We start from the raw sequence: 22169 nt of genomic DNA, 5'->3' as shown, positions 1-22169 counted from the left end.
CTGGTCTCAAACTCCTGGGCTCAAGCGATCCTCCTGCCTCAGCCTCCCAAAGTACTGGGATTACAGGCGTGAGCCACAGCGAAGGCCCTTTCCTCTACTTGTTTCTCAACATTCACTCAGGATCAGATTAGTATCGGTGTGATGGTTCTCTGAGCCTCTTCAAGTTCCTTCCCAATTTTCTACAGGCATTTCCCCTAACACATTTCTTGCATATTTAACTTCATTTTGGTATCTTCCTCTCCAAGAAGACTAGAACAAACTGCTCTAGGATACACTGTAACACAGGCAAATTCTGTCCATATGGTTTTGTTAAAATAATTAATTGGGAGGCCATGAGGCTAAGACAGTTCCATTGCCTTGTGTTTCTGAGTAAGCAAACAGAAATAGAACTCAGTGTAAACTTAAGCTTAACCAATCAGAAACCACTAAGTGACATCTAACTAGGGACTTTCTAGTTTAAGCCATCAAATATTTTCTTTATCTTGCTTCTGCAAACACCTTAGAAAAATTTCTCCCTCCCACCAATTTAGTGGAGTGTTGAACTGTTTGAGCTCTGGTGCTGCGTGATTCATGAATAGCTTCATTCTCAAACTCGTGACAATTTTAATGTGTTTATCTTTTAACAATATTAACTTACAATATTATCTGGTTCTGAAATATTTTTCTTAGGGAAATATGTCCTCAAAATATTTTAGAAACAAAACACAAACCATCTTAGTACACAATGATCTTTTCCCTCCTGTTCTCTGTGTGTTTACCTTAGCTCCCAGACAATGAAAGCCAAAATATAGCTGACTACAAGGACAATGAATGCTGAGGCTCTTCCTTCTCTTTGTGCTGTTCATTTGCTTACTCAATAATTTGACCCACTATGGCTGAAGATTAAAATACTGGATATTAAACTATAAGTTTTATGGAGAAGTTCTTGTCAAAGAAGTAATCAAGGAAACAGAGTCAATGTCAAGCAAGCAATTAGGGGAGAGAGAAAATCCTTTAATATTATAATTTCACCATAAGTAACACTGTATCCTGGGAAGATTAGCTGATAATTGTATAAACATAGTTAGAAAAAAATAATAGAGCCTGGCCTGGCATGGTGGCTCATGCCTGTAATCCCAGCACTTTGGGAGGCCGAGGCGGGCGGATCACTTGAGGTCGGGAGTTCAAGACCAGCCTGGCCAACATGGTGAAACCCCATCTCTACTAAAAATACAAAAATTAGCCAGGCATGGTGGCGTGTGTCTGTAATCCCAAATACTCTGGAGGCTGAGGCAGGAGAATCCGGGAGGCGGAGGTTGCAGTGAGCTGAGATCCCACCACTGCACTCCTGTCTGGGTGACAGAGCGAGACTCTGTCTCAAATAAATAAATAAATAAAATAATGGAGCCAGAGGCATTTCCTGACTTCAGGAGATTTGAAGGGAATGGAAGAGTGGCATCTCAGGTGTTATGTTAGAGTTCACCTAGAGAGGAACTGTGCTGTGTGGTAGGGACCCTGTTACACCACCTCCAGTCAGCACCCCCTTTTCAGAAACAGGTACTCCTATCCCCCAAGCAGTTTTGCAAGTACTTCATTGACCGCTACGGCAGGTTTGTTTCCCCAGTAACAGCATGTTCAAACAAGTGTTCCACAGTAATTCATCCGCCTGTAATCCTAGCACTTTGGGAGGCCAATGCAGGTGGATCACTTGAGCTCAGGAGTTTGAGACCAGCCTGGGCAACATGGTGAAACTTCATCTCTACAAAAAACACAAAAATTAGCTGGGCGTGGTGGCTCATGCCTCTAGTCCCAGCTACTTGGGGGGCTGAGGCGGAAGGATCAATTGAGCCCAGGAGGAGGAGGTTGCAGTGAGCCAAGATTGCTCCATTGTACTCCAGCCTGGGCAACAGAGTGAGACTCTGTCTCAAAAAAAGAATTAAATCTGATCTTTTTATTTTTTCATTTTCAAGAAGCATCTTCTTAATGAATAAACTTCTAGAAGGGATAGTTACAAGTTCTTTTGTTAATTATTCATTGAAACTTTAGCAAGGATTGGGTTATAGCCAACGGAGAACAGGTTCTTGGGTGGGAGTGGGAGTGGGTAAAGCCAGAGATAAGCCTTCCTCAGCACCATGCACCCTTAACTGCCACACTTGACTTCCTTACCTCTTTACGTGACATCTCAAATTTTTTCCCTCCAGAAGCTTTTTTGACTAAAAGTAGAAAATGGCCGTATGATTAGCTTCCCCATAACCTCAAAATCAATATTCAGAGGAGATGTGTGTGAAGTCAAAATTGTTGGTTAAGAAATACAAGTTATTTGCTTTTCCCTTTTGCCTCTGAGTGGAATGTTCTTCCCTTAAATCTTCAAATGGCCGTCGTGTGTGTGTGTTTGTGTGTGTGTGTGTCAGTCTCACTCTCACACAGGCTGGAGTGCAGTGACCTGATCTTGGCTCACTGCAACCTCTGCCTCCTGAGCTCAAGTGATTCTTGGGCCTCAGCCTCTCAAGTAGCTGGGATTACAGGTGCTCACCACCACGCCTGGCTAATTTTTGTATGTTTAATAGAGATAGTGTTTCACCGTGATAGCCAGGCTGGTCTCAAACTCCTGATCTCAGGTGATCCGCCCGCCTCGGCCTCCCAAAGTCCTAGGATTGCAAGTGTAAGCCACTGCTCCCGGCCTTTATTTTATTTTATTGTTTTTTTGGACAGTCTGACTCTGTTGCCCAGGCTGGAGTACAGTGGCACAATCTCGGCTCACTTCAACCTCTGCTTCCCAGGTTCAAAAGATTCCCCTGCCTCAGCCTCCCAAGTAGCTGGGACTACAGGCATGTGTCATCACACCTGGCTAATTTTTGTATTTTTAGTGGAGACAGGGTTTCACCATGTTGGCCAGGCTGGTCTCAAACTCCCGGCCTCAAGTGATCCACCCATCTTGGCCTCCCAAAGTGCTAGGATTACAGATGTGCGCCACTGCACCCAACCCAAATGGCCATCTCTTTACCTTTCACTTTTTAACACAATGTTACCTCCTTATCAAAGATTTTCCTGGTCACCCTAACTAAAGGCTTCTTCCCCTCTCCCCCTTGTTGATGCTGTCAGAGCAAAGGGAAAGCTACCCCTTCACCCTCTGAAAGTTTGCTGAAAAATCAACTGGCACAAGGCAGTTGAATAGGAGCAAAGGCATTAAAAAACCTTTCTGGACATGCATAGCAGGAGAATCACATGAGAATAGTCACCAAATGGAGACAGAGGTTTATAAACCTTTCTACGTAGAGGATGGGGAGATGGGGAAATGTGGCAATTTGAAGGCTAGTAAATGATTTTTAGGGAGAAATGAAAGGAGTTGGAGAACATAAAATGGCTTGGGACACAATCTGTTGGGCCTGCAGAGCAAACAACAGTTTATGACAAAAATCTGTCCAGGTGGCTGGGTGGGCGTGGTGGCCCAGGTCTGTAATCCCAGCACTTTGGGTGAGGTGGGCAGATCATGAAGTCAAGAGTTCGAGATCAGCCTGGCCAACGTGGCGAAACCCCGTTTCTACTAAAAATACAAAAATTCGCCAGGCATGGTGGCACGCGCCTGTAATCCCAGCTACTTGGGAGGCTGAGGCAGGAGAATCACTTGAACCCAGGAGGCGGAGGTTGCAGTGAGCCAAGATCATACCACTGCACTTTACCCTGGGCAACAGAGCAAGACTCCATCTCATAAAAACAACAACAACAACAACAAAAACCTGTCCTGGTGCACTGACAGACTGCAGTCTTTCTTCCTGTTATATGAATTAAATTAATGAAAACTCAGGGAAGGGTCCAGAGGTTTTCTTCTTTGGCAGATCCAGATTTTAGTCAAATTAGAGAACTTCAAAGTGAACAGCTTCATAGAGACAGGAGGCAGGGTTGGGTGGGTGGTCAGAGAGAGCTTGAGACTGCTTCTTTAGGCTAGCACGCCAAAGTACCATATTTTGGGGTATCAGTTTCTGAGCCCCAACAATGCCTCCTAATCAAAGACCACCAGATATACACTATAATCCAACAAAGTTGGGCTTATCGGTGCTTGTGGCAGCAAGTGAGACCACACACCTTGGCAAATCTTGGGATATCTTGGTAAGAAACTCTTACAAGAGGCGGTGGCTCACGCCTGTAGTATTAGCACTTTGGGAGGGCAAGATGGGTGGATCATGAGGTCAGGATTTCAAGACCAGCCTGGCCAAGATGGTGAAACCCCGTCTCTACTAAAAATACAAAAATTAGCCAGACATGGTGCCAGGCACCTGTAATCCCACCTACTCGGGTGGCTGAGGCAAAGAATTGCTTGAACCTGGGAGGCGGAGGTTGCAGTGAGCCACTACACTCCAGCCTGGGCGACACAGCGAGACTCCGTCCCAAAAAAAAAAAAAAAAAAAAAAGTCTTTCAAGGGACTTGTTAGAGAGTTTGGGCTTGTATTCAAGGAAGGGGGTTTATTCTGGATTGAGGGCTGTTAGGAAAGGAGGGTAATTCAATGATTGGGTATCTTAATGACTCTTGTCTGGGAGGCAGGAGGAATGGAGTGGGACTAAAGCTGCTATTGGCAAAGAGGTAGCCCTCACTCAGCTGGGAGAAATGGCTGTTTGGTCATTTTAGTGATTTGCAGTGTCCTTGTTTTGTCCCTGCTCAGACACGATTACAGAGTGGTCTTTTTTGTTTTGTCTGTTTTGCTTCATCACGACCACAGAGTGAGCTTATCTGATGTTGTTGTGCCATGAAACTGTTGATGTTTGATGGGAGAATGCTGTGATCTAGCTGTGTGTGCCAGGCCAGCTTCCAACTAACAGGTGATTTTTTTCTTTCCCACTGTAAACCAGGGGTTCCCAACTCCCGGACCAGGGGTCTGTTAGAAACCACACCACTCAGCAGGAGGTGAGCAGAGGGCGGCGACACTGGAGCGAAGCTTCATCTGTATTTACAGCTGCTCTTCATTGCTGGCATTACTGCCTGAGCTCTGCCTGCTGTCAGATCAGCAGCGGCATTAGATTCTCATAGGAGCGCAAACCCAATTGTGAACTGCGCACGCGAGGGACCTAGGTTACACGCTCCTTATGAGATTCTAACACCTGATGATCTGTCACTGTCTCCCATCACTTGCCCCCAACCCTATGGGGCCATCTAGTTGCAGGAAAACAAGCTCAGGGCTCCCACTGATTCTACATTATGGTGAGTCGTAGAATTATTTTATTATCCATTACAATATAATAATAGAAGTGAAGTGCACAATAAATGTAATGTGCTTGAATCATCTCGAAACCATCCCCCCATCCCCCAAGTCTGAGAAAAATTGTCTTCCACAAAACTGGTCCCTGGTGCCAAAAAGGTTGGGAACTGCTGCTCTAAACCATTATCCTGTGGAATTATTTATTTTAAAAAAAAATTTGAAATAAGTTTATTCTTTACAAATGACAGAAATAAAACTTCATGATTCATTTGGATTTTACATTTATTTGAAAACTCTTTTCCTTCTTTAAATTGTTGTACTTGAAATAGGGTTGACAGAATGGGCCCAGGTGAATAGTGAGATACCTGAGGGCCATCTATCTTGTGGAATTTTTTCACAGGGTGAATCAATATTCAATAATTATCCAAGATATGTATCTTTCTTTCTTTAATTTTGTTTTTTTAAACATAAAGACGGGGTCTCTTTATGTTGCCTAGGCTTGTCTCCAACTCCTGGATTCAAGCTCCACTGGCCTCCCAAAGTGCTGGGATTGCAGGTGTGAGCCACCATGCCTGGCCCCAAGTTACGTATCTTTAGTGTGTGTGTAGTTTGTCTTCCTCAACTGCATGTAAGCTCTATGTGGGCATAGGTGTTGTCTGTCTTATTCACGGCTGTGTCCCCGACACCAGAAGCAGCCCCGATGTATGGTAGATACTCAATAAATATTAGTTAAATGGATGCCAAACTTAGATGGTTGGGGAAACAGCTCATCTGGAGGTGGAAGAGAGAGTCTTCACATGCTGAAGGGATGTAAGGAAGTGACAAAGCACACACAAGGTGGTTAGGCCAATTCAGATCATCTCTAGGGTTGCTATGTCACCCTGGGATAGGACAACTGATCTGGGCGGGTAGGAAACTCCAACTCTGGAACAAATGGCTTTTTGAATTCTAATTAAAGAGTCTTTGAGATTGTGAAATGTTAAAATCTAATTTACTCTGTCCAGTTAGGTACAGGAGGTATTCTAGTCCTTGCCAGTTTGGACTATGATTACCTTGAGAAAATAGAACATGAAAAAAATAGCCTTTCAATCACCTTCATACAATGGCCATCATAAAGTGTCTTCTTAGAGCTTTCATTTTTAATTTTCAGACCAAGGTTTTCCTGTACATGAAAAAAGTGAATATGGCGCTTTTCCTTTCTTTAAAATACTGTGGTTTTCCTGAGTCAAGGACTAGAAAAAAAGAAAAAAAAAAAAAGAAAATACTTTGGTTTGTCTGAAGACCAATCTAAGGCTTTCAAGGAAAGAACTCCGGGTAAATGAGCTTTCTACTGCACTCAAAGACTATCAGTGACCATTTTAAACAATATTCTTGAAAATATTATTTGAACCATTATCCCAAAGCTAGCAAAAATTTGTATCCAGGAGGTAATGATGATTTATGTTGATATTTACTATGTCTTTTACTATCACTGTTTGCTTGCTTGTTTTTCATGACTCCTGGTACTTTTTCTTACAAAGCTACTGAAAAGTTACTAGTTTGGTTAAATTCACTGAATACTTATTGAGTGCTTGTTTTGTGCTGTGTACAATGCACTATGTGATTCACTTACAAGAAGGCTAAGCAAGTGTAAAGGAAAATGCATAACTAGGCTTTTTTCAGTAGGACTTATTTTCGACACTGAATGGCACACTGAATTATCCTGACTAATGGTTGCTGAAGAGATTCAAAATCATTGGCCTTAGCCAAACACTGTTGAGCATCCTCTTGCGAGGTTGATGTGGTATACGTTTAAGCTGCTATGGGTATACAGTGTACTTATGTTCTTTGGAAACACTCCAGAGCCAGGATGCTTAGGTATAAATGCTGATTTTGCCAATGACTAGCTGTGTGACTTAACAGCTCCATGCCTCAGTTTCCTTCTCTCCCTGTAAGTATGAAAATAATAATATCTGTTTTATAGGATTAGTGTGAAAATCAAATGATATAACTTATGTAAAGGCTTTAGTATATTGCCTGGCGTATAGTAAGCATTCAGTAAATACTATATTATGTCATTTTATAATATATCGCTATTATATATTATATTTTTATCATAGAATTTACAGAGCTGTACAATTAATAAACATTTTACAGTAAAACATCTCTACAGTATATATTTTTTTGAGATGGAGTTTTGCATTTGTTGCCCAGGCTGGAGTGCAGTTGCATGGTCTCAGCTCACTGCAACCTCCACCTCCTGGGTTCAAGTGATTCTCCTGTCTCAGCCTCCCAAATAGCTGGGATTACAGGTGCCTGCCACCACACCCAGCTAATTTTCATATTTTTAGCAGAGACAGGGTTTCACTATGTTGCCCAGGCTAGTCTCGAACTCCTGACCTCAGGTGATATGCCCCCCTCGGCCCCCCAAAGTGCTGGGATTTCAGGCCTGAGCCACTGAGCCCAGCAACTCTACAATATTTCACACAGAAAACAGTATGAAGTTTCACTATTTAACTTAGTCATTATTTTTTGCTGCTTGATATGTGGAAGTTTCATAATGATGCTGGAGATAAGAACATTAGTAAGACACAGTTCTTATTCAGCAGCTCCCAACTGCAAACTCAGCAACTGCTGTGTGGTGGGAACAAAACTCCAGATTTCTTATCTGCTTTTCTAAATGTATATGGTAAACCAATTTTTCTGTTTTCTCATCTCCTGTGACCTCTCTTGGTTATCTAAAGTTCACCCTTGCCACCGTGGTATAGCTTGATCAGTCATGCCCTTTGTACAGTATCAAGAAATCTCAACCTCTTATTAACATATGCACTATCTTTCCTTCCTACTACCTGTACTGCTGTTTTACAGCTACCTACCATTTATTTCTCTTTTTTTCTTTTTCTTTCTTTCTTCCTTTTTTTTTTTTTTTTTTTTTGAGAGGGAGTCTCAGTCTATCGCCCAGGCTGGAATGCAGTGGCTGGATCTCAGCTCACTGCAACCTCTGCCTCCCAGGTTCAAGCAATTCTCATGCCTCAGCTTCCTCAGTAGCTGGGATTGCAGACATGCACCGTCATGCCTGGCTAATTTTTGTATTTTTAGTAGAGATGGGGTTCCGCCGTGTTGGCCAGGCTGGTCTGCCCAACACGACGAAACCCCATCTCTACTAAAAATACAAAATACACCCACCTTGGCCTCCCAAAGTGTTGGGATTACAGGTGTGAGCCATGGCACCTGGCCTGATGTTGTATCCTTGGATGCATAAGTAGAAATGGTCTCCAACAGGAATAGAAAAAAAATGATAGAATAGGGTGGTTCAAGTCACTTTATGGCGTTACTATAGCTATAGATGAACACTAGAGTTATGAATAACCATTTCTGTAGTCAAGCTAATGAAAAGAAAGGATCTCTCTTGGTACAGAATATGCAATATGGACTTAAAATTTCAGTATGTGGTACTAAAATGTAATTTTGACTACAGTGGTCACTTGTGCCCCTTTTGATGGAACAAATTAAATCACCCACAAAAATAGTGCATTGGTAATTGAAATGGAATTAGTATGAGCTAGTAAATAATGTATCTGTTAGGGTTTCAACAGAAAACAAATGGCATACTCAAAGGATTCAACTGAAGACAGATTAAGGAAGGGATGATTTACAGAAGAATGAGCAATACTAAGGGACCACACAAGAGATTAGAGAAACAGCCAGAGACTCTTAACTGCAGGAAGCCATTAGGACCCCAGGATTGAGAATAGTATTATTGGAGGCCAGCAAGAACTGGAGCCATAGAACAGGAACTGCCCAAGAGAAGCTGTGGCTGCAGGAAAATGCAACTGCGGTGCCGGAATTCTCCACAAAGTGTCAGTGGAGGGTAGGGATGGGCAAGGAAGTGATAGAGACCTTTCCTTTCCTCTTTTCCAGTTTCTACTCTCCTGCTGCTACCTCTCATCCTCTGAACCCAAATTGGAAGCCAGAGAGCAAGGAAGCTCTGATGGTTGATCCCTAGAGACCAGCCTTTCAGGACAGAGAGCAGAATAGAGAAGGGCATGGAATGGATTGGGAGGCAAATGTTTCTCCTTAATTGTTCAGTCAACAGTCAAGCTCGAGTTTGAAGGCATTGAGAGAACACAAACAGATGGTGGATTAGTTCGTTTTCACGCTGCTGATAAAGACATACCCAATACTGGGTAATTTATAAAGAAAAAGAGGTTTAATGGATTCACAGTTCCGTGTGGCTGGGAAGGCCTCACAATTATGGCAGAAGGTGAAAGTTACCTCTTACATGATGGCAGTAAAAAAGAAAGAAGGAGAGCCAAGTGAAAAGGGAAATCCTTCACAAAACCATCAGATCTTGTGAGACTTATTCACTACCACGAGAACAGTATGGGGGAAACCACCCCCATGAGTCAGTTATCTCCCACTTGGTCCCTCCCACAACGTGTGGGAATTATGAGAGCTACAATTCAAGATAAGATTTGGGTGGGGACAAAAAGTGAAACCATATCAGATGAGTAGAAGTGATACAAACCGGCTGGGCGCGTTGGCTCACGCCTGTAATCCCAGCACTTTGGGAGGCTGAGGTGGGCAGATCACTTGAGGTAAGGAGTTCAAGACCAGCCTGGCCAACATGGTGAAACCCTGTCTCTATTGAAAATACAAAAATTAGCTGGGTGTGGTGACACATGCCTGTGATCCCAGCTACTCAGGAGGCCGAGCCAGAAGAATTGCTTCAACCTGGGAGGCGGAGGTTGCAGTGAGCTGAGATAGCACCACTGTACTCCAGCCTAGGTGACAGAGTAAGATTCTGTCTAAAAAAGAAAAAAAAAATTGAAACAAACCACTTCTAGGTCCATCCATAAAACCTCCAGTGCAGACCTGCAGGCTCTCTCTCCCCTTCTGCAGGAATTCTGTGATTCACCTATTGACAGTGGTGGTGCTCACAATGGAAGAAACCTGGAGTGGAACCTCTATCCTTGACTGCATTGCATTATGTTATGAAGCCACCGAGGTTTCAGCTTGTTTGTTTCAAATGTCAGATGGGGGTGCAGTGAGAGACGTGATTAACACTGATGTCTCCCTACTGTGCCTCTCTCCAGATTTCTTCTCTCTTCTGGACTTCTGAGCACTACTCTTTCTGTATCTATAAGACATTTACAAGTGGGTATCTTAGATGTCACATCTTAAACTCAACATTTCACAGCCATTTCATCCTAGTCCAGCGGTGTGAAACAAATTTTTTTTAAAGAAAGAACACTTCAAAGCCAAATTCAAAACATTCTTAGGTGGGGAGTGGTGGCTCATGCATGTAATCCCAGAACTTTGGGAGGCTGAGGTGGGAGGATTGTGTGAGTCCAGGAGTGCGAGACCAGCCTGGGCAATGTAGACTCTACCTCTACAAAAAATAAATAAATAAATAAATATTAGCCAGGGGTAGTGGCAACTGCCTGCAGTCCCAGCTACTTGGGAGGCTGAGGTGGGAGGATTGCTTGAGCCCAGGAGTTTGGGATGCAGTAAGCCATGATCACATCACTGCACTCCAGCCTGGGCAACAGAGACCCAGTCTCTAATTTTTTTTTTTTGAGATGGAGTCTCACTCTGTTGCCCAGGCTGAAGTGCAATGAAGTGATCGCAGCTCACTACAACCTCTGCCTCCTGGGCTCCAGTGATTCTTGTGCCTCAGCCTCCCAAGTAACTGGCTTTACAGGCATGCACCACCACACCCAGCTAATTTTTGTATTTTCAGTAGAGACAGGGTTTTTACCATGTTGGCCAGGCTGGTCTCAAACTGCTGACCTCAAGTGATCTGCTTGCCTCAGCTTCCCAAAGTGCTGGGTTACAAGTGTGAGCCACCACACCCGGCCAAACTCTAAATTAAAAAAAAAAAAAACAAAAACAAAAAAGACCTTCCCCAAACTATCTTGCTTTCATGTATACTCTGCCTATCCAACTTATGTATTCATTAGGTTGGTTATTCAAGAATATTTATCAAGACTTGATCTATGCCATAATTTGGCTATATATTGAAGATATAAAAATAAAGAAGACATAGTTTCTGACTTTAAGAAGCCCATAGCCGGTGGGCACGGTGGCTCACGCCTGTAATCCCAGCACTTTGGGAGGCCGAGGCAGGCAGATCACGAGGTCAGGAGATGGAGACCATCCTGGCTAACACAGTGAAACCCCGTCTCTACTAAAAATACAAAAAATTAGCCAGGCGTGGTGGTGGGCGCCTGTGGTCCCAGCTACTCTGGAGCCTGAGGCAGGAGAATGGCGTGAACCCTGGAGGCAGAGCTTGCAGTGAGCCGAGATCACGCCACTGCATTCCAGCCTGGGCAACACAGCGAGGCTCCATCTCAAAAAAAAAAAAAAAAAAAAAGAAGCCCATAGCCTGTCAGAGTTAAACATATAAACAAATAATTCCTGAGAATGTGTTATGTGCTGTGGTGATACGTCAGTTGCATCCTCTCCTTTATACCCCACATTGACTAAGTCACAAGTACCTTATGTTCTTCATTGGTAGAGTCTGCATTCTCAGGGTGTTCTATTCAAATGATAACCATATTGTCTCTCTGCCTCCATTATCCTTTCTTTTCTCTGGTTGATCCCTTGTACACTGTTGTTAGACTAATGTTCCTTAAACATTCTTTGTCCAGGAATATTATAATATTTCTCCCCCACTGAATCAAGTCTCAGTTCCTCTGCTTGGCTTTCAAAGACTTTTGGATAGCCCCCTAATCTGGCTATTCAATATATTCTTCAGGACTCTCCATTGTAACTGCCAAGCCCTGTCTATTGTTACTTCCCCTCATCAGTCACATTAGCTTACTAATGGAGAAACCAAACTCCATGAAATATTTTAAATAGGTTTGTTCTGAGGCAGTGTAAGTCACCATGACCAGGGAAAATGCAAACCCAAGAAGCCTTGAGTAAGTAGTCTCAAGGCAGTCAGATTACAGCTTGGTTTTATACATTTTAGGGCGGCAGGAGTGATAGGCAAAGACATAAATCAGTAGTACATGGAAGGTATCCATTGGTTCAGCCCAAAAAGGTGGGAGGGATATCTTGAATCGGGAGCTTTCAGGTTACATGTGGATTCAGAGGTTCTTTATTTGCAATTGGTTAAAGGAGTAAGGCTCTGTCTAAAACTTGAAATCAGCAGAAAGGAATGATTGTTTGCAGGTGTGACTTAACCCGCCTTAGGTCTTATTCATAATTTGGTATCTTATTGCCACGAAGAGCCCGTTTTGTTGTGTGTGTGTGTGGTTTTTTTTTTGTTTGTTTTGTTTTTTTTTTTTTGACAGGGTCTCTATCACCCAGGCTGGAGTGTAGTGGCATGATCATGGTTCACTGCAGCCTCGACCTCCTGGGCTCAGGTGTCCCTCCAGCCTCAGCTTCCCATGTAGTTGGGACTATAGGTGTGCACCGCCATGTCCAGCTAATTTTTTTTGTATTTTTTATAGAGACAGGGTTTTGTCATGTTGCCCAGGCTGGTCTCAAACTCCTGAGCTCAAGGGATCCGCCTGCCTCAGCCTCCTAAAGTGCTGGGATTATAGGCGGGAGCCACTGTGCCTGACCTTGTCAGTCTTATTATCTCTATTTTAACATTAATGCTGGTCATTGTGCCTAAACTCCAAAAGGCATGTGGTATAATGAGGCATGTCTCACCTCTCTTCCCATCATGGCCAGGAATTCAGTTTTTTTGGTTTTTTTCTAGAGTCTCCTTGGTCAAGAGGGAGTTCATTCAGTCACTAGGAGGGCTCAGGATTTTATTTTAATTTCTAAGACCCTTCACTTCTTTCTATTCCAGTTGCTCACCTTAGTTCAGGCCATATCACCTCATCCCTATACTACTGCAGGGACATCTTAGCTCCTTGTCCTGACTCCAGACTTTTCCCTTCTACCTATCCTGCCTTCAGCTAACAGAGCTCTCTCATTAAAGCATCCACTGTTCAAAAGCCTCTTCGTCTGCATTCCCAACCTCAGGAAATGGCTCCTCTACATGCCAGTTGCCTGGACCAGACACATGGCAGCCATCCTTTATCTTCCTTGTCCCTCATCCCTCTCATTCAACCATCACCAAGTTCCTTCTGTCCTATCGGCTAAGGACTAAGTTCCTTCTGTCCTGAATCTGCCTACTAATACTTTGCACCATCCCCATAGTTCCTGCAGAAATTCAAGCCACTGCTACCTATTGACTGAGCCCCCTGCAACAGCATCCTTGCTGGTATTCTTGCTTCCAACTTTACCATCTTAGAACCCATTCTCCACATCGCCACCATCTTTATCTCTATGATGGAAATCCAGTACTGTGACTCTCCTGCTTGAAACTGTTTGGGGTTTTAACTCCAAGGCCCTGAGAATGAATCTCAAACTTTATGACACAGTATAGGGCCCTTCGAGATATGGCTCCTGCTTCTCTCTCCAGTCTCATCTCCTCACCCCAGCTGTCTCCAGTACCTTAGGTTCTAACTCACTGAACTACTTCGCTCCTGATAATGAGGGATGTGATTGCTTGCCTGCTACAGTCCTTCTAGCATGTCACTCCCAATATGTGGGATGTTCTGTCCTCCCACCTCTCACCTATTTCTATATATATCTTTTTAAACTCAGCTTCCTTAATGCCAGTTACTAAGTCTTCATCCTTGTATCCCCAGCATGCAGTACAGTGCCTAGCACTTTGTGGGCCCTCCATCCAGAGAAGGTAAATACATTGTGGTCTTATAGCTAGTTAAGACACAGAGAACTGGGATTTGAACCAACTTTCTGATTCTTAATTTTGTGTACATTCCACTTCCCTGTACTGCCTTCTTATAAAACATCTTAGACATAAAACATCTTAGACATAAAGCCCCAGTTCATTTCATTCATTCAACAACCATTTATTGATTTCTGAATATGTGCCATGCACTATGTTAGATAAAAGGGATAAACTGGTAAGCAAGGCATTTCTGCTAAAAGGCCAATCTACTTCTAGATTAAAGATGAAAGATATAGTTAAATCAAGAGTCATTTGCAGACCGTGTGATGATCATAGGAGTAAGTACAAAGTAATAGGATAGCCTATAGGAAGGGCCCCTAACCCAGCCATATGGAGTCAGGAAGGCCTTCGGAGAGAAGTGATTTTTTTTTTTTTTTTTTTTTTAGATGGAGTCTTGCTGTGTCACCCAGGCTGGAGTGCGGTGGCACAACTGGCTCACTGCAACCTCTGCCTCCTGGGTTCAAGCCATTCTCCTGCCTCAGCCTCCCCAGTAGCTGGGATTACAGGCATGCACCACCACGCCCAGCTAATTTTTGTGTTTTAGTAGAGACGGGGTTTCACCATGTTGGCCAGGCTGGTCTTGAACTCCTGACCTCATGATCTGCCTGCCTTGGCCTCCCAAAGTGCTGGGATTACAGGCGTGAGCCACTGCACCTGGGGAGAAGTGGTTTTTAAGCTCAGACTGCATGAAGCATAAATATCAGGAAGACGAAGAAACTGGGAAAGCATTCAGAGCACCAAAGAACAACATGGGCAAAGGCTCTAAGCATCAAATACTGCATCAATACTGGGAACTGAAAGTTGTTCATAATTGCCACAGTGTGAAATACCATGGTGATAGTGATGAGAGATGAGTCTGGACATACGCATGGCTTTATGACGCTAAGGGGTTTAGACTACGTCCCAAAAGATGTAGAGCTGAAGCTGGGAGTGGACTGGTGGTGCTCCTGTGGTCCCAGTTACTAGGAGGCTAAGGCTGGAGGATCCCGTGAGCCAAGGAGTTAGAGGCTGTAGTGCGCACCATGATCGCATGTGTGAATAGCCACTGCACTCCAGCCTGGGCAACATAGCAAGACACTGTCTCTACAAAAAAAAAAAAAAAAAAAAAAAAAAGAGTGAATTTTCAGCAAGGGAATTAATAGATCAGATTTAAATTTTGGAAATGTCATCTGGCTACAAAGTAAAGAATAGATTGGGGTTGTGGAGGCAGGGAGAAAGCCAGGATGGGGAGGATAGAGAAAGAGAGTGCTTACCTCCAAGAAAAAGAATATAAAAAGGAAAGCAAGAGGTTGGGAGGAAGAGGAGAAATTGAACTTTTGGTTGAGTTTCATTAATTGATGTGTGAGTCAGAGGCTCGGAAGTGACATTGGGACCTGAGTTAGAGACTTGGGAGACAGGAGTGTATAGAAAGTTATTGTAGCCATGGAAGCATATGTGCTCTCCTAAGAAGAGTACCAGGGGAAGTAGAGTTTCAGGCAGAACATTCAACAGTTAAGAGAAGAGCCAAGAACTGGGAGCTCAGGAAAACTAACAGAAGAGCATTCTCTGAAGGAGGGAGGGACAGGGTCTCACTCTATCACCCAGGCTGGAATGCAGTGGCATGATCATGGCTCACTGCACCACCTGGGCTAAAATGATCCTCCCATCTCAACTTTCTGAATAGCTGGGATTACAGGTGTGTGCCACCATGCTCAGCTAATTTTTGTTTATTTTTATGTAGAGATGAGCTCTTACTATGTTGCCCAGGCTGGTCTTGAACTCCCTGGGCTCCAGTGATCCTTCTGCCTTGGCCTCCCAAACTGTTGGGATTATAGGCATGAGCCACTGCGCCTGGCAGCAAGGACAGTTTCAATGGAGTTGTGGGACCAGAAATGAGAGTGGAGAGGAAATAGAGAGTGCCAGTGTAGACTACTCTTTCAAGTAGTTAACTCTGAAGGAGGAATGAAAAAAATGGTGCCATCTGGCAGGAGGGTTTTTAAAGATGGCAGACATTAGAGAACATTTATGTAGCAGGTACATTTTGAGAGCACTTGAAGATCTAGGAGAGAGCGAGTTGATGGAATGAGGTTGCTGAAGAGGCAAAGGGAGGAATTATATGAACATCTGTGGAAGCTCCAATCTTAGGATGGATCCCTCTTCCATTTTAACAGAAAAGGGAAAAGAAGAAATTATATAGGTGCTGAAAGATTTGTTGGTTTGGTGGTAAGAAGTTTGGAGGGCCTTCATCTAATGGCTTTTGTTTTCTTGGTAAAGTAAGAGGTGAAGTCACCTGTTGAGACTGTGGAAGGGAGCTATGGGAAAGGGATTTGAGGAGAGTGAAGAAAGTTACCTGAAGGGCAGGAAATAAAGCACAGCTCTAACTCCTTTTCTCCTCACTTGATTCCCCTTTCTCCCTAAACCATCTTCTGCTGGATATAAATTTGTGATCGTCTGTGTGGAGGTGACATGAAGCCATGTCACCTCCACACAGACGATCACAAATTTATATATCTAGTCCAGAATTTACATCTGAACTCCCATCTGTCATCCACACTTGGGTATCTCAAAGGCTCCTTCAACTACCTGTCCCTCTAGCTTTGGCTCAGGACTGACTAGGGAAGGACAAAGGATAGAAGATTGTTGGGCCTTCCTGAGAATCCAGTCAGTGTTTTGTTTCATGCATTTGCATTGTGGTCTATTGTGTGCAAGGTCCTCCTCTACCTTTTGTGTCCACAGTCCTCTACCTTGGTCAGTTTTGCTTATACTATTTCATTTGCATAACATGTTCTCTAATCATTTCCATATGTTGAAATCCTATCCATCTTAAGCATTTAACTTTTGTCTTAGTCTGTTTTCTGCTTCTATCACAGAATATCACAGACCGGGTAACATATAGAATAGAAATGTATTTGCCTCTCAGTTCTGGAGGCTGGGAAGTCTAAGAGCATAGCACTGCATCTGATTAGGGCTGTGTCGTCCAATGGTGGAAGGGCACCATGTGGAGAGGAGGTGCAAGCATGAGATAGAGCAGGATTGGAGGCTGAACTTGATCCTTTTATCAGGAACCCACCCCGATGATAACTAACTCACTTCCCAAATAACAGCATTAATCCATTCATGAGGGTGGAGCTATCATGACCTAATCACCTCTTAAAGGTCCCACCTCTTAATACTGTTACAGTGGCAATTAGGTTTTTAATACATGAACTTTTTGGGGACACATTCAAACCATTGCAACTTTAAAACTCACCTTTTCTGTAAAGCATTCACTGATCATCCCCTACTGAAAACAGACAAAGCCAAAAAACTTTCTTCCTCTTATTTCTCCTTTATCTGTACTTTTCTCATGGTTATTATTATTTTTTAATTTCTTCATATACCTGCTGATTTACAAGTCTTATTTCATCTTATCTGTATTTCTAGATTAAGTCCTTGAAGAGAAGGACTGTTATTGGATTTATCTTTTATCTCTCACCAAGCCTAAAACAGTGTCTGGCACGTATATCCACTCACAAAATCATCTCATTTACTAAGTTAATATGTATATATTTACTGACTTATGAATAAATGAATTAATCAATGATGAAAACAAACTCTCTGTTCTGGTAAGTCTTTTTTTTTTTTTTTTTTTAAGATGAGGTCTCACTCTGCTGCTCAGGCTGGAGTGCAGTGGCGCAATCACAGCCCACTACAGCCTTGTCCTCCCCAGGCTCAGGTGATCCTCCCACTTCAGATTTGTATTTTTAGTAGAGATGGGGGTTTTTCCATGTTGCCAAGGCTGTCTATTAAGTCTTTACATGTCATTATCTCAATCTTCTTTCCATTGGTAATGCTATACAACATCATGGATATTTGTGGACGATTCAAAAATCTGTTACTAAAATAGCCCTGAGCTCTTGTTCAAAGTATATTCTCATATTTTGTTTCTTGCTGCTTCTCTCAAATGTGCTATGTTGAGGGTACTCATTTCCCGTTTCCTGGTGTTTCCTATACAAAGCTGAGGCTAAGTGTAAATACCATGACTTCTTTTCTTTTTTTTTTTTTTTTTTGAGACGGAATCTCACTCTGTCACCCAGGCTGGAGTGCAGTGGCGTGATCTCTGCTCACTGCAAGCTCCGCCTCCAGAGTTCACCCCATTCTCCTGCCTCAGCCTCCCTAGTACCTGGGACCACAGGCGCCTGCCACCATGCCTGGCTAATTTTTTTTTTGTATTTTTAGTAGAGATGGGGTTTTGCCATGTTAGCCAGGATGGTCTCGATCTCCTGACCTCATGATCCGCCCACCTCGGCCTCCCGAAGTGCTGGGATTACAGGCGTGAGCCACCGCACTCGGCCAATACCATGACTTCTAAATGTCTTCTCTATTCTAGTCCTCCTAAATCCTTTAGAATTTATTTTACTTACCATTTTTGGCTGTTATGGCTTGTCTTTTTTATGAGTTTTAATTGTATACTTTGCCTACCAAATTAGATTATAAACTTCATGAGGCCAGGAATTTGTATATAAATGTATAACTTCTTTGCTGCACTCCCTGCTTTCTTTCTCCAATCTAACTCCACCACCTCCTTCCCCCTGGTCTCTATTAAGTGAGAAAAATTAGCTACCACCAGACAGCAGTGGAGAGGTCAGAGATGACATGTATGGAAAAAAGGCCATAGGTTTAGAAAAATTGATATTATAATAGGACTTACTAAGATAAGACTTTCCTACCCTCTTTGGCTTCACAGAAAAAGTTGTGATTTGTTTAATTCTGTGTTAGTCTAACTGTGTTAGACTACCATGACTAGTTGGAGCATGAAGATGGGTTGAGACATGGGGGAATGTAAGCCTGGAAAAGAAATATCAAGGTAGCTCATGACTGTTGTCTTCAAACATTTTTGTTTTTTTTGAGACAGCCTCTAACTCTGTTGCCAGTGCTGGAGTGCAGTGGCACGATCATGGCTCACTGCAGCCTCGACCTTCTGGGCTCCGGTGATCCTCCGGTCTCAGTCTCAGACTACAGGTGTGTGCCACCATGCCCAGCCTTTTTTTTTTTTTTTTTTTTTTTTTTGGTAGAGACAAGGTTTTGTCATGTTGCCCAGGCTTGTCTTGAGCTCCTGGGCTCAAACGATCTGCCCGCCTGGACCTCGCAAAGTGCTGGAATTATAGGCGTGAGCCACCATGCCTGGCCCCGCATTCTTAATGTTGGAAAACAAATGGTTGGGCTGCACTGTGAAGTAGTGACCTGCCTGTCTGGAAAGTTCCCAGCCACAGACAGGGGTGGGAAAACTTCTTCCTAATGTGATTGAGGACAGTCTGGCTTTAGGCTTGAGGTTGAACTAGATTATTTCTGAGGACTCTAACAAATCTAACACCAGGAGTCAGTGATTTGGTTCATACTTCCAATTTAGGCCCAGAGACTGCCGGCCCATGAAGTTCCCACCCTTGATCTTTGTGACTTCAGTGAATAAAGTAAAATCACCTTCTATTGTAACTCATTGAGAATGGGGCCTTTGACCTGTATTAGGTGCTGACAGGTGACTGAGATATAGATAGCGGTGGTTAGTAGGTATCTGGAAAAGAGATGTATTTCAGAAGAGTCAGAAGAGCGAAGAACAACATGAGACCCTGAAGAGATGGCTGTTGAAAGGAAAGGAGGTATCCACAAGGTTGTTGGTTACAGATTAAAATGGGAGAGATGAGAACAGGAAAGGGGGTAGTAATGGTGTATTAGGCTCTTTCTGGGCTCAAGGAATAGAAAAACACTCAGGTTACATCAGATAAAGAGTAAGAATTTATTGCAACAATACAGAGACATAAAAGCAGAGACATCACGCTGCTGCAGAAGGTTGTTGAAGATTTAACTGCAGCCCACCATTCTGGACCTCTCAGCAGGGGGCGCCATCCTTTGCTCCCTACCCTAGTGTTTCCGCACTCTGGGGTCTCAATCATTCTCTCTCTGCTCTTGCTTCTGCCGCTCCTGGTCATCTTTTCTGTATTCTCCTTTAGGCTGTCCCATGGCTTCTGCTTACTCTCTGCTCTCACTTCCCTCTGTGAGCCTTTCTGCATCTACCTTGACTAAGGACTGTCCTTTGCATGCGTCACGGTTAAACCTACCCAAGAGAGAAATCTAGATGGTTCAATGCTACTCAGTATAGAGATTTCCTGTTGGGCAAAGCACATATACCAGGCCTTTGGTAAGCCTAATAGAAAGGTGCCATTTAGGAGGCCCTGCTCTTGCTCCTTCAGCTGAGCCAAGAATTGTAGGTTGCATAATGAAGTCCTCAAAAAGGGGCAATAGGCAGGGCAGACTTTCCAAGGCTTCCTAGAAGGGGTCATGTGACTGTCAGGCACACTGCTTGAGCAGACAATTAGGGATAGAAAAGCGGAATATATTCTTTTTTGTTTGTTTGTTTGTTTGTTTTTTGAGGCAGGGTCTCTGTCTCCCAGGCTGAAGTGCAGTGATGTGATCTCAGTTCACTGCAGCCTCCACCTGCCAGGTTCAAGTGATCCTCCCACCTCAGCCTCCTCAGTAGCTGGGACTACAGGCCACACCACCATGCCTGGCTAATTTTTGTTTTGTAGAGACAGAGTTTCTCCATGTTGACCAGGCTAAGCAGGGTATATTCATGATGAATAAAGAAAGGCCAGGTGAGGTGGTTCATGCCTGTAATCCCAGCACTTTGGGAGGCCAAGGTGGGCAGATTGCTCAAACCAGAGTTTGAGACCACCCTGGGCAACATAGTGTGACCCTGTCTCTATAAAAAATAAACAAAAGTTAGCTGGGCATGGTGGCTCGCGCCAGTAGTCCCAGCTACTTGGGAGGCTGAGGTGGGAGAACTGCTTGAGCCTGAGAGGTTGAGGCTGCAGTGAGCCATGATCATGCCACTGTACTCTAGCCTGGGTGACAGAGCAAGACCCTCGTCTCAAAAATAAAAAAAATAAAGAAAAAAAAAAAGAAAAAGCAAGCTAAGGGCTAAAGGTTGAGTTGAAAATGTTGCCCAAGGAGAACATACCTTATGGGAAAAGCTATGAAAGACTATCTCTCAACTTTGCTTCTTCTGAAGAAAGACAAAAGGATAGGAAAATGAAAATAATTGGAACATATTCTTTCCCAGTGTTGGCACTGAGGAAAAACTATAGACTATTCCTACTACCCACATCCCCAGGAGTGCCCTAATCCGGCCTTTGCCAAGCCAGATTTCCAGCTGTTTCTTTGATGTCTGAGTGATATATTCTTTATTTGCTTAAGTTAGCCAGCACCAGTGCTTGCTGCTTACAACCAAGAAACTCTACAGAAGACATAAGGGTCTCTTCCAAACTTTTTGTGTGGGGAACCAGCAAAATCAATCACTGCTGGAAGGCAGTTGCTTAGACATCTGTGTGTCATACCTGCAGGAAAAGAGAGATGGGTACAAAATTAAGTCTAGACCAAAAGAATTTAATATCTGAAACTATACCAATTCATTCCTGTTATTAAATAAACTGAGTGAAATGGCACAAATGACAAATAACAAATTTAGACCACTTTTAAGAGAGAAAAACTCCCAATGACCTCATAGCTTTGATGGTCTGGAGTTAATAGTAACTACAAAGTCTTTCATATGTAGGTATAAGGGAATGATTCATTTCCCTCAACTCAATGGTTTATCTGCATTCGCCTGATGACATCTGACCTACTTTTCAGTATTCCAGGCAGTAATTACCCAAAGCCCTCCCCAAAGTCTCAGTCCATAAAATCCTCCTTTTAATGAGACTTAAGCCTTTAGCGTGTTCCTGCACCACTTCAAAGTCACACTGGCACCAGGGGAGTGTTTTTAAAACATGCAATGCACTAAGTGCATTCTGGGATGTCTCAGGCTTGAGACAAAACTGCAAGGACCAGACATTAGGTACTACAATCTAAAGAGGATCACATTCTGAAGGAGGTCATTGGAATGCGGGGAGGGGGATGACAGTAGAGAGATTTGGGCTCCTAAGTTTCCTGAAACAAAAGAGTCCAAGGTGAATCCAGTCTGAACCAGGCAATGAACAATTCTGATGAAGCCCATCCCAGTCTTAAGTTACCCGGTTCACTTTTCAATGTGGGTCAGGCAGGCCCGGGAATGGCAGGGCCAGGGGTTAGATACTCCCAAATCCATTTCACAACCAGTCAGAGCTTCCATTGCAATTCCTACTTATATATGTAGGGATTATATTACTAGTTACTTTAATATGCCGCATCTGCAAAGTTAAAATATCTATCTGCCTAAAGCTCAGAAAGGAATATGAAGGAAAATATTTATTAACTAGTTCCAGAGGTTC

The 22169-nt window shown here is 43.3% G+C and overlaps 1 long non-coding RNA gene across 2 annotated transcripts in view; it reads right to left on the bottom strand.

Moving 5' to 3' along the window:
- The window catches only part of LOC124904268 (uncharacterized), a 42640-nt gene continuing 40112 nt past the window's right edge, over positions 19642-22169 (bottom strand). For both annotated transcript variants that reach the window (XR_007066314.1, XR_007066313.1), the window contains one exon: positions 19642-21257. This is a non-coding gene — a long non-coding RNA (uncharacterized LOC124904268). The remainder of the gene's footprint in view (positions 21258-22169) is intronic.

The sequence above is a fragment of the Homo sapiens genome, chromosome 18, assembly GCF_000001405.40.
Source record: "Homo sapiens chromosome 18, GRCh38.p14 Primary Assembly".
Taxonomy (NCBI): Eukaryota; Metazoa; Chordata; class Mammalia; order Primates; family Hominidae; genus Homo; species Homo sapiens.
The sequence above is the reverse complement of the archived record's forward strand: the minus strand, read 5'-3'. Positions and strand labels throughout refer to the sequence as shown.